General features: G+C 38.2%; 1 protein-coding gene and 1 long non-coding RNA gene across 6 annotated transcripts in view; one reads left to right on the top strand and one right to left on the bottom strand.

Annotated features, from left to right (window-relative positions):
• The window catches only part of MYOCD (myocardin), a 103,060-nt gene that overhangs the window by 62,396 nt on the left and 27,251 nt on the right, over positions 1 to 13,413 (bottom strand). For all 5 annotated transcript variants that reach the window (NM_001378306.1, NM_001146312.3, XM_005256863.1 and 2 more), the window contains exon 2: positions 1,361 to 1,426. Coding sequence is in view for 4 of the 5 variants with exons in the window: in NM_001146312.3 (NP_001139784.1) it covers positions 1,361 to 1,426 (66 nt within the window). In the remaining variant the exon portion in view is untranslated. The remainder of the gene's footprint in view (positions 1 to 1,360; positions 1,427 to 13,413) is intronic.
• The window catches only part of MYOCD-AS1 (MYOCD antisense RNA 1), a 34,274-nt gene continuing 21,279 nt past the window's right edge, over positions 419 to 13,413 (top strand). The window contains exons 1-2 of the long non-coding RNA NR_104605.1: positions 419 to 1,181; positions 1,571 to 1,620. This is a non-coding gene — a long non-coding RNA (MYOCD antisense RNA 1). The remainder of the gene's footprint in view (positions 1,182 to 1,570; positions 1,621 to 13,413) is intronic.

Below are 13,413 nucleotides of genomic sequence, written 5' to 3'. Positions count from 1 at the left end.
AATCAGATGTGTACAACTTGGGCTTACGGAAAGGTTGCAGGTCCATTTGCTCCACTTGCCTTTCCAGAATTAAAGAGAAAGAAACATCGGTGAAGGGATAGATTATCAGCTTTGAGTGAAATTGTCTTGACCTGATCTGACATCCGCAGACCTTTGGTTTCTTCCTGTCTTTAGCACCTCCAAAGAAAGGCTAAGATGAAACAGGCCACACATAGACTTGCTCCTTTGCTTCCTCAGCATAGTTGTCAACGTTGTTTAAACAGCCTTGAAATCACAGGGTGAGCTGTTTCTTTTGTACTTCACAAACCTCTAACAGAGTTGTCCCACTTTAAGGTCACATACTGTTTACTATTCTAGAGCTTAGCCATGAACAAAGGATTACTTTTGAATTACAAAACAAGAGGCCTGAAAAATTCTTAGTTCTGTTCTGGCTCTGAAACAAAGACTAAACTTTCAATGTTTAGCCATGGGTCATAGCGCTTCAATATAACTAACTACACAACATTTTTTCTAACTAATGTAACTAACTACACTATATAGGGCTATACATAGGGCTTCAATACAACTAACTACACTACAGTTTTTCAAGGGCAAACTTCTGCTTGTTGTATACTGAACTCTGAAGTAACAGTCACAACAGCATTTTACAGACACCTGAATTTCTGCACAAGTCATTATAGATCTTGATTTTTAAATTTTGTTGGAGAGGAAGTTAGAATCTATGACCTAGAGCAGCTTTACCCATGACTTATTCATCCAGGGTACCCTTTTCTCTATTTCTACAGATAACCAAGAGTTAGCTTTCATTGCTGAATTGGTAGAAAATTTAAAATATATCTTCTAAAAGATACAATAATCCTTCTTCTTTTACCCAGTTCGTGGCCAGTAATTCAACATTATATCATTTATGCTAAAATGGTATTGCCACTCCACCTTCTAGAAAGGAAATACTTGACCAATATTCAATGACTTGTGGACTCCAATATCCCAAACAGAACTGAAATTCAGGAAGTGAGAAAAAGATGATGTAATTGATGCTTCTGGAAAGAATATTAATTATATCCAATTTTAAAAGTAGATGAGTCAGGGGTGCCCATAATGAATTGTGTTTACCCTGAGAACAAATCCACTACATTGGAATTTTAGGCATAACCAGTATCATTAAAAGGAGCCCCTTGCAGGTGAGTAGGTAGCAGTCGGGGCAAAGCATCCAAGGTCTGGGATTTCTGCTGATACCAATGCTTTGAAGATCTTCGGAGACCAATGCATTGGCTTAAACTAAATGACCTCTGAGGCACTTTCCAGCTCCCAAATGGTGTGGCCCTATGTATATCAGTAATTAAGAGATGCAGGTACTCACGTGGTATTATGCCTTGGTTAGCCAGTTGTTCCTGGGTCCTTCTTTGTTGAAGTCTTAACTGTAAAACTTAGAAAAGGGAGTGTTAGTTTGTGAGTTGGGCTAAATATCATTACAATCATTATATTTTCATTACACATTCATAGATCGTCTCATTTTATTTCTAAAAGAGTTCTGTAAATTATTTGAAGTACATTTTAATTTCTGTTGTAGACACAGTGGAAGAAGAAGGAGAGAAGCTGAGAAGGTTACAAGGTTTTGCAGTAAGTCTGTCCCAAACTAGAATTAGAATACTTGTCTCCTCTTTGAAGTGATTGTTATTTTCGCAGTGCCATGCTCTCTCTCTCTACACTCTGTCATTTGCAAGATAAATATCATCTAATTCCACTTGGTTGGCAACCAGTGATATCAAAAGGGGAGACAGAGTCCCACCTAGGTTCACATCTCATCTCTACCCCCTTAATAGCTGTGTATCCCTAAGCAAGTTGCTTAACCTCTCTGACCCTCAGTTTCCTCGTTTGTAAATAAAAACAATGCCTACCTGGTGGTGTTGCCATAAAGTTTGATAAAACAATGTATGCACATTGCTTAGCAGAATGTCTGGCACATGTAATGACATTTTGATAAGTGGTAGTATTATGAGAATCTGGAATTCTCCTGGGAATTCAAAGAAGGACTATTGGAGTTGTGCTTTTCTTAGAAAAATTAAAACACTGTAAAATTCTCAAAATTATACATTATAAATAAATATAAGTATGTTCCCAATATTACGTATCTATAACACAAATAGATTATACATATCATATACATGTAATAGTAAAAATTAAATAATATTGAATTATTAACTTCTGAGGGCAGTATTTACAATGTTCTCCTTCCCATTGCCCCCTCTCCTCCAAACACATTCTATCTTTGGAAATTCAGACTCCTCCTCATGGATATTCCATTTTCTCTGTATACACTGACAAGAGAGAGCTTAAAGCTTGAATCCACTTGGATTAATCATCTGCTAAAATAAAAACCGTGTTTTCCAGAGGACTGCAACAGAACTTGGAGACTAGATAAGGCTCACAATGTCCAGAATACAATCTAAAATACTCTAACACAAAAAACTAGGAAAATGTGACCAATTCTAAATGGAAAAGACAATGAACAGATGCAAACCTCGAGATGGGTCAGATGTTGAAATTATCAGACAAATACTTTAAAATAGTTATTTCCAACTAGGTTCAATGAAGTAAAAGAAATGGACAAAAAATAGGAAATCTCAGCAGCAAAATAGAACACATAAAAAGAAACCAAGTAGAAACATTAAAACTTAACAATACAATATTTGGAATAAAAAATTATTGAATGGACTTAATAGAAGAATATCAAAGGAATGAGTCAGTAAACTTGAAGACAGATCAAACTGAAGAAGAGAGAGAAAAAAGATGAAAAAAAAATGAGCAGAGCCTCAGGAACTAGTGTGACAATATCTAAAAGTCTAACATTAGCCTCAGGGATTCGTGTGACAATATCTAAAAGTCTAACGTTAGGGAATTAAGAGTCCCAGAAGCAGAGCAGAGTCATAGAGCAAGTTTTAATTTAATTGAAGTGGAGCAGATTAATGTCACATAAAATAGATATCAAGTCACAGAGTATTGTCAGAGATAAAGAATGGAAATTTCGTAATTATAAGAGGGAATAGCAATTATAAATGGATATGCATTTAAGAACAGAACCTCAAAATACATGAAGCAAAAATGGACAGAATTAAAGGAATAAATAGACAGTTTCAAAATCACAAAAACTTCCTGAAGTTGGTGAAAAAAAATGTACAGATTCAAAAGGCTCAGTAAACCCTACACCAAATATATTCACAGAAAACCACACTTAGATACATAATAATCCAATGGCTGAAGCTAAAGATAGAGAGAAAAATCTTAAAAACAGGTGGGGGAGACACAACATATTATATAAAGAAAAATGTTGATTTACATAGCCACAGAATTCTCTTCAGAAACAATGAAAGCTAGAAAATAAAAAACAAAAAGAGAAACAGATAAACACCCCGCCCCCCAATCTACCAACTCAGAATAGAAAATGACCTCTAGGAATGAAGGTGAAATAAAGATATTTTCAGGTAAAGAAAAAATAATATAATTTCTTACAAGAAATGCTTAAGTAAATTCTTCAGGCTCAAGGGAAATGATACCAGAAGATAACACAGATATTCAGGAATGAATAAAGAATGTCAGAAATGGCAACTCTATTAATAAATATTAAAGATATTTATATTTCTTCTTAAACATATACAACTTTATAAGGAAAAATTATAACATTGTCTTGCGATGCTCTTAAAGCACATAGATGTAATACAGATTACAGTGATAACATAAAGGACTTCTTATGACTGCCAAATTTCTATACTTCACATGTAGTGGTATAATACTAACTATAGGTAGACTGTCACAGTTAATGATTATATTGTAACCAATAATAAAAACACAAAGGGTGTAACTAAAAAAAACCCAATAAATTGAAACAATGCTAAAAATATCAAGTAATCCAAAGAAGGCAAGAGAGGGGGAATATAGGAACAAAAAGTATAGGGACAAACAAAAAACAAGTAATATAATGGTAGATCCAAATCCAACCATGCCAATAATTACATCAAATTTTAATAGTTGAAATGCTCAAATAAAACAGAGTGTATCAGAAAGAATTTATAAAGGCCATATTCAATTATATGTTGTCTGCAAGAGACACACTTTATATATAAAGTGTCAGATTGGTTGAAAGTAAGTAGATGGAAAAAAGGTATACCATACAGACAGCAAGCATAAGAAAGCTGAAATAACTATATTAATATCACATAAAATAGACATCAAGTCTATTTTGTCAGAGATAAATAATGGAAATTTTATAATTGTAAGTGGCAGAATTCATCAGGAAGACATAGCAATTATAAACGGATATGCATTTAAGAACAGAACCTCAAAATACATGAAACAAAAATGGACAGAATTAAAGGAATAAATAGACAATTTCAAAATGACAGTAGGAGATTTTAAGACTCCTCTCTCAACATCAGATATAACTACATTTAAAAAAATACTAATGACATAGAGGATTTGAGCAATAATATCAAACATCTTGATATAATTAATATTTGTTTAGCACTACACCTAACAACTGCAGAATAAACATTCTTTTCAAGTGTACATGGTACATTCACCAATATACACTAGGCCATAGAATAAGTTTTAATAAATTTGAAATAATTGCTCTCATATAGAGTATGTTTTCTGACCACATTGGAATTAATTCTAACTCAAAAGCAATATACTATTAACAAAAATCTTTGGCAATACATTTCTAGATAATTCATAGTCAACACAAAATCATGAGAGTAATTAAAAATATTTTAAACCGAATAATAAAAAATATACAACATATTATAACTACTTCATATCATAATTTCCCATAACCCATATTACAACTTATGAGATACAGCTAAAGCAGTGATGAGAGGGAAACTTAGAGTTTTAAATACTTATATTAGAAAAAGAGAAACATTAAATCAGTGACCTAAGATTCTACTGTAAGAAGATAAAAAAGAAGTATGCTCATAGTAAGGAGAAATAAGAAATAATAAAGATTAAAGCAGAAATCTTTATAATAGAAAACAGACAAGTAGTAGAAAAAATTGACAATGCCAAAAGCTAGTTATTTGCAAAGATCAACAAAACTGTCAAACTCCTAACTAGACTTATTTTATTTTATTTTATTTTATTTATTTTGAGACGGAGTCTCACTCTGTCACCAAGGCTGGAGTGCAGTGGCACGATCTCGGCTCACTGCAACCTCCGACTCCCAGGTTCAAGCGATTCCCCTGCCTCTTCCTCCTGAGTAGCTGGGATTACAAGCGTGCACCACCATGCCAGGCTAATTTTTGTATTTTTAGTAGAGACGAGGTTTCGCCATGTTGGTGAGGTTGGTCTAGAACTCCTAACCTCAAGTGATCCACCTGCCTTGGCCTCCCAAAGTGACTGATTATAAAGGTAGAGAATAAAATTTATCAATAACAGGACTAAAAAAATGTGTTATAACCATATATTCTAGACATTAAAGATAATGAGAAAATATAATTAACAAATTTGTGTTAATAAATTAAACAACTTAAAGTGGACACATTTCGTGAAAACTAAAGCTTACCAAAATTGATACCAAAAACACAGAAAATCTGAATAGCAATATGTTTATTAAATCATAGATTGATTATTATAACCCCCCCACACACATACACACACATACAAAAATATTCAGGCCCCGGCAGTCTTACTGGTGAATTTCTATCCAGATGTGATAGGAACAAGTTGTTTTCCAAGTTTTCCATTAAATAACACATTTTATACATTATACCAATTATAAATAAGAATTCTCAATTATTTTATCTTTCAATATCATAGATCTTAATCAAATGAAGACGAAGTTTATAAAAATCTCCCACTGCCTCAAGCCTGTAATCCCAGCACTTTGGGAGGCCCAGACGGGTGGATCACGAGGTCAGGAGATCGAGACCATTCTGGCCAAAATGGTGAAACCCCGTCTCTACTAAAAATACAAAAAAATTAGCTGGGTGTGGTGGGGGGTGCCTGTAGTCCCAGCTACTCGGGAGGCTGAGGCAGGAGAATGGCGTGAACCCAGGAGGCAGAGCTTGCAGTAAGCTGAGATCGCGCCACTGCACTCCAGCAGTCTGGGCAACAGAGTGAGACTCCATCTCAAAAAAAAAAAAAAAAAAAAAAAAAAAAATTCTCCCATTGCTAGAGTTAGCCAATTAGAAGACTCTTTCAGTTCTCTAGATATTAAGCCATTTTGACTTAGATTGAGCTGGACAAAGGCAGTGGAAATGGAAACAAAAGACGAAAATATTAAAAACACTTTGAACAAAAAGAATTAGAAGAGTTTGGGGACATGAAGGAGGATAGAAATATATGCTTATTGACTGGTTGTGGTGGCTCACGCCTGTAATCCCAGCATTTTGGGAGGCCAAGGTGAGTGGATCACGAGGTCAGGAGTCCAAGACCAGCCTGGCCAACATGACAAAACCCCGTCTCTACTAAAAATACAAAAAAATTAGCCAGGCCTGGTGGTGGGCGCCTGTGGTCCCAGCTACTCGGGAGGCTGAGGCAGGAGAATTGCTTGAACTGGGAGGCAGAGGTTGCAGTGAGCCGAGATTGTGCCATTGCACTCCAGCCTGGGTGACAAGAGCAAGACTCCATCTCAAAAAAAAAAAAAAAAAAGGTAAAAAAAAAAAAAGAAATATATATTACTATCTTTCAAGAGGTTGTTAGTCTGGGATCTTTGGATATGTTGCAAGAAATACAGCTACTTGATGTATGCAACTATATCTGCGTATATGCATTATTTTCTTGGGTATGGGTCCGTAGCACACTTTAGATTCCCAAAGAAAGCCAAGGCTTCCAAATTTAAGCTCCTTTAATTTAAAGCTTAAAGATTTAGGGTTCTGAAAACATGTATCAGAGTTATGTTATAATAAAGTTGACAGAGAACTCTGAAAAAACGATGAGCATAATTTTAGACAACCTGAATTTTTGTTGTCCTGGTAAATATGAAATAAGGTGCCTGATAAACAATTGAGATATAGGGCTGGAGAAAGGCTGAGAGGTTAGGGCTGGAACACTGATTTCGGGCATCATCTTTAAGTAAGTGGCCACAAAACATTTTAGCAGAATTTCTAAAAGAAGAGAAATATATGATCAAAGAAGGCTGGGCATGGTGGCTCATGCCTGTAATCCCAGCACTTTGAGAGGCCAAGGCGGGTGGATCACTTGAGGTCAGAGCTCAAGAGCAGCCTGGCCAAAATGGTGAAACCCCATCTCTACTAAAAATACAAAACTTAGCAGGGCATGGTGGTGCATGTCTGTGATCCCAGGTACTGGGGAGGCTGAGGCATGAGAATCACTTGAACCCGGGAAGCGGAGGTTGCAGTGAGCCAAGACTGGGCCACTGCACTCCAGCCTGGGCAACAAGCAAGACCCTGTCTCAAAAAATATATATATATTATCAGAGGAGAGGAGAGAGAAGACAAAAACAGAGAGAAAAATTCCATTACAAATAATGAAAGAATGACATTAAAGAGGGTCTGGGGCCGGGCGCGGTGGCTCACGCCTGTAATCCCAGCACTTTGGGAGGCCGAGGCGGGCAGATCATGAGGTCAGGAGATCGAGACCATCCTGGCTAACACGGTGAAACCCCGTCTTTACTAAAAATACAAAAAATTAGCCGGGCGTGGTGGCGGGCGTCTGTAGTCCCAACTACTCGGGAGGCTGAGGCAGGAGAATGGCGTGAACCGGGGAGGCGGAGCTTGCAGTGAGCTGAGATCACGCCACTGCACTCCAGCCTGGGCAACAGAGCCAGACTCTGTCTCACAAAAAAAAAAAAAAAAAAAAAAAAAAAAAGAGGGTCTGGTAGGAGACAAAATTTCTTTGCTTCTATATGGAGAAATCACTGGCCTACTTGACATCACTCATTTCCATACTTCTTTTTTTGGTTTAATTGTTTGCAGATTTTTCAGTTATAAAGATTGAAGGCATTAATTCATTACATTCGTTCAATCATTCATTACATATTAGACTGCCTACTATGTGAAAGCATTGCTTGCTGTTGGCATACAGTGGTGAATAGGAGAGTTACTATTCTCATGACCGTAACATGCTAGCTGGGGAGATAAACTCAATTTTCCCTGAATACAAAATAAATTCCTCTCCCTCTCACCTCAAGAACTTGGTCTTCAAGGGCCCTGTTAAATCACTGATGCTGTATGCAAAAATGTTGCTTGCATGTGTGTAAATGAGTATTTCTATGGACTGGCTTATGACTTTTATCAGATTTTCGGAAGTCTCTGAGACTTACAAAAGTTAAGAACCTTCAGTTCAGATCTAGACTAAACCATCTCACATCTTTCTTTTCTTATTTTTATTAGTGGGTTATCTCCTTGCAATACATGTTACGCAGCATTAGCAGATCAATTTCCGTAAACTCCCTTTTTATAAGATTACTTCGTATAGCATCTTGCGGTGGCTCCTTATGCTAGCCTTTGAGGTCTTTTCCTATATGCACATTATTCCCCACACAAACTCTCTTTTCCAGTTCAGCCTGCCCCTCCTGAGCCTAACCTATGCATTCACATTGTTTGCCTTTGATTATGATATCCCTGCATACGGAATTTGGTATATGGTTTGAGGCTAGGCTCTAACTCTAATTTATCCCAAATAGTTGGGAAACTATATATAACTGCCACTTATTAAAAAATTTCCTTTGCTTACTGATTTATAATGCCAACTTCTTCATTTACTTAAGTTCTAATATAAGCCACAATCTGTTTCTAGGTGCTAAGTTCTAATTCGTATTAATTTATACTTCCTATTTTTTTTTAGCAGCAAAAATACTAAATGTTTTCTGTTTCAAGATGGCAAACTGAGCAAACACCTGATTCCTATAAATAACAGAAATGGTAGTTTTAAAAATGTATACCTAGGCCGGTGGCAGTGGCTCAAGCCTGTAATTCCCAGCACTTTGGGAGGCCGAGACGAGGTCAGGAGATCGAGATCATCCTGGCTAACGTGAAGAAACCCCATCTCTACTAAAGATACAAAAAATTAGCCAGGTGTAGTGGTGGGCGCCTGTAGTCTCAGCTACTCAGGAGGCTGAGGCAGGAGAATGGCATGAACCCAGGAGGCGGAGCTTGCAGTGAGCCAAGATTGCGCCACTGCACTCCAGCCTGGGCGACAGAGCGAGACCCCGTCTCAAAAAAAAAAAAAAAAAAAAATATATATATATATATATATATATACTCCTATACCAGAAAAGAAGAATGAGATTCCTCAGCGAATTGGAACCCTAAGTAATTTATGAAACACACAAAACATATGGGATTGGATTGAAAAACTAAGTTCTAAGATCTGCAAGTGAGGAATTGAAAGCTGTGCCAAGAGCCCTCCATGCCAAGGAGCAGGAGGGGACCCAAGGCTCAATCAAACAGGATTGTTAGCTGGGGTACTGAGACAGGAGGTCTACCCCTGTGACATCCTGTATCTGTCCCTACATTGGACTAGGCATTGGTTATGGGGCATGGGAATGTCTGTCTGCAGGTCTTCGAGTGGTAGCAGCAAATCCAGCCTGTTTGGAGACACAGCGATGGGCCTTATAGATTGCTGACAATATCCAAGAGCGTCATGATTTCTTCATCCTCTGAAACTAGCTCCTGGCTCATCCTATTCCTCCCTTACAATCCTCGAATTCACCAAAACACAAGTATCAGTGACATGTGTTTTCTCTGTAAGCTTGCTCACCTGTGCACTGTCTAACAGATATCTGCAAGGGCACGATGTTAGCGTACAATCAAGAATCGCCTAATCTGGGAGGAGTATCAGCAGTATGAAAGAAAACTCTAAACCTAACCAAAGGAAAGAACATACCCTTAAGGCAACAGTATGAACAAAGGGAACAGGCCTTTCTCAGAAACAGGCAAGATAATTCATCAACAGAAAAATAATACATTAACCACCTCACAGCCACCAGGATGGCTACCGTCCATAAAACAGAAAACAAGTGGTGGCATGGATATGGAGAGATTAACACCCTTGTGCACTGTTGATGGGAATGTAAAATGGGCAACTACTGTGGAAAAGAGTAGGGCAGCTCCTCAAAATAGTAAACACAGTATTACTGTATGATCCATCAATTTCACCTGTGGGTATATACTCAAAAGAATTGAAGGCAGGGACATGAAGAGATACTTGTACATCTACCCTCATAGCAGCATTATTCTTAATAGCCAAAAGGGGGAAGTGACACCAGTGTCCATCGATGGACAAAGGATAAACACAATGTGATATATTTATAAAATGGGGCCGGGCACAGTGGCTCACACTTGTAATCCCAGCACTTTGGGAGGTCGAGGCGGGCGGACCACGAGGTCAAGAGATTAAGACCATCCTCGTCAACATGGTGAAACCCCGTCTCTACTAAAAAAAAATAGGAGGTGGAGGTTGCAGTGAGCCGAGATTGCACCACTGCACTCCAGGCTGGTAACAGGGCGAGACTCTGTCTAAAACAACAACAACAACAACAACAACAAAGGAATATTATTCAGCCTTAAAAGGAAGGAAATTCTGACATGCTACGACATGGATGAAACTTGAAGACATGATGCTGAGTGAGATAAGCCAATTACAAAAGTAGAAACACTATATGAATCCACTTATATAAGGTACCTAGAGTAGTCCATCTCATAGAGACAGAAAGTAGGAGGGGGGTTCCAGGGGCTGGGGGAAGAGAGAATGGGGGGTTATAGTTTAATGCAAACAGAGTTTCAGCTTTGCAAAATCTTAGTGATGATTATACAACAGTGTGAGTGTACGTAATGCCACTGAACTGTACAGTTAAAATGGTTAATAGGGTACATTTTATGTGTATTATACCACAATTCAAAAAATTAAAATTCAAAAAATAGTATCTTTCCTATTAACACTAATCGCAAAGTAAAAATTCATTCATTAAAATAAACTCAACTAAAAATGAACTTGTGAACTAGAAGATTGAGCTAAACTGTCCTCTTAGAATGTAGCACAAAGGGATAAAGGGGTAAGAAGCAAAAACAATATGAGCTTAATGCAGAAACATTGCAAAATATAGAAGAGCTTCTAGGAGAAAACATATTTATCTGCTCTGGTCTTAATGTTTGTGTCCCTCCAAAAGCTATATGTTGCGATCTTAATCCTCAAGATGATGGTATTAAGAAGTTTGAGAGGTCACTAGGTCATGTGGGCACAGCCCTCATATTTGGGATTGGTGCCCTTATAAAGGAGGCTTCAGAGAGCTGTCTGGCCCCTTCCACCACGGGAGGAGGCAGTGAGAGGCGGACTTCTATGAACTAGGAAAGGGGCCCTCATCAGACACCAAGCCTGCCTGTAGCTTTAACTTTCCAGCCTCTGGAACGGTGAGAAATAAATTTATTGTGGCTTATAAGTTACCCAGTTTATGGCATTTGGTTATGGCAGTCTGAATGGACTAAGATCATCTCTAAACTAGGGATACTTCTTGCTAATATTTCATTCATGAAGTTTAGGTCCTTTTTCCTATATGTTTGTGTGGGATCACATTATAAGGGTTCCTTCATTAGCTGATTTTTATTAGTAATATATCAAAGATACATTCACATGCCATTTAATACCCATCAAATGATGCTATTTTAGTAGCTGTAGAGCTACTAAATTTCTTTCCTTTTTTTTTTTTTTTTTTTTTTGGTTATTCCTTAAGTCATTGAACCATTGGCCATTATTGAAGGTTTAGATTTCTTAAAGTTTTAACATTAAAAATCACAGTGGACATTCTTTCTAGTTGATTTTTGGCCACGTCTTTGATATTACATTAAGAAACACTCCTAGAAGTAGAATGATTTCATCACAGGAAATGTCAAATTTGAAGGCGTTTGGTACGTATGACAATAGCTCTCCTAAAAGGTTGTTCTGATCTTCCCACAAAGTATGACCAGGTTGCCCATTTCTCTTGGCCTTGTTGCTCCTATCACATGGAAGCTACTGGAATCTTTCTCTCCTCTGAAGCTGGAGGCCTGGCTGCTGGGTCAGGGTCTAACTCTAAAGGGAGTGGGCAGAGAGCTAAGTCCTGGATGATCTCAGCAGTGGAATTCGTCCCTGGGTGGCTTCTTCTCCAGGTTCGGCTGAGCTTTGATACTAGAGATTGAGCTCAAATGCACCCATCCCTCTCTGCGGCTGCTTCCCACTGCAGATAGGACAGTCCTGACACTTCAGACAGAAACCTTGCCCCACTGGCCTTATGCTTGGTGAAGCTACCTTGCTCTCTGGGCACAGCCACCTGCAGCTTTTGCTTGGCCCCTTCCCGGATGCCTTTTTGTGCTTTGCTGAGCAGAGCTTCCCTTCCCTTCCCTGCTTTCAGCTTGCTGCGCCCATTTGTGTCCCAGAGCTCCTGGCAAACCTCCATGAACCCATCATAGCTAAAAGTACTGTTTGAGCAGAAGGTTACTTTTTGGCCCATGCCTTCTTTCCACTCCCAGTTCTACCCACCTCTAAGTGACAGGTATTCCTGGAGTTTTCTCTTCATTCACCTTTTTGGGGACCTCATTCTTATCTTTGGAAGGTCGTGGGAAGTGAGTTCTTGGTGTCTTTTCTACATCATCCCAATGTTTTTATCAACAGCAGAAATCTCTCTCATGATTCTGACATTTGGGTGTCAGTCTTTCTAGGCTTCCAGAATCAAAGCAGTATTTTTTTCTATTCTTGCATTCTTTTGGCCATTGTCATCAGAATTGGGAGTCATATGTTTGTGTTTAAGTTGTCTCTTTACTCAGAGGTCTGGGCTTTGGATTCTGATTTCCTCATTTGAATATTCTTGTTCCAGTGCTACACCATTTATTTTATTCTAGACTAATGATATATATTTTCATGTCTGGTAGGGAGCACCTTATTTTATTTTATTTTATTTTATTTTATTTTATTTTATTTTATTTTATTTTATTTTATTCTATTTTATTTTTTTTGAGACAGAGTCTCTCTGCGACTCCCAGGCTGGAATGCAATGGCACAATCTTGGCTCACTGCCACCGCTGCCTCCCAGGTTCAAGCGAATCTCCTGCCTCAGCCTCCTGAGTAGCTGGGATTACAGACACACACCATCATGTCCAGCTCATTTTTGTATTTTTAGTAGAGACAGGGTTTCACAATGTTGGCCAGGCTGGTCTTGAACTCCTGACCTCGGGTGATCCGCCCACCTCGGCCTCCCAAAGTGCTGGGATTACAGGCGTGAGACACCGTGACTGGTCTATGGTTTTTTTTGTTTGTTTGTTTGTTTTAAAAAAACATAAATGTCCCACGACAGCTCCACCCTGGATTTTTCTCCAAAATGAACTTCAGGAACAAGTAGCAAGTTCTACCACCACCCTACGCATGTACCTTCCTAAAGAAGGGAAAATATGTTCCCTTAATATTCTATAATCATAGAATAGGTGT

Source organism: Homo sapiens, chromosome 17, assembly GCF_000001405.40.
Source record: "Homo sapiens chromosome 17, GRCh38.p14 Primary Assembly".
In the NCBI taxonomy this organism is placed as follows: domain Eukaryota; kingdom Metazoa; phylum Chordata; class Mammalia; order Primates; family Hominidae; genus Homo; species Homo sapiens.
This window is presented reverse-complemented; position numbering and strand designations above follow the sequence as displayed.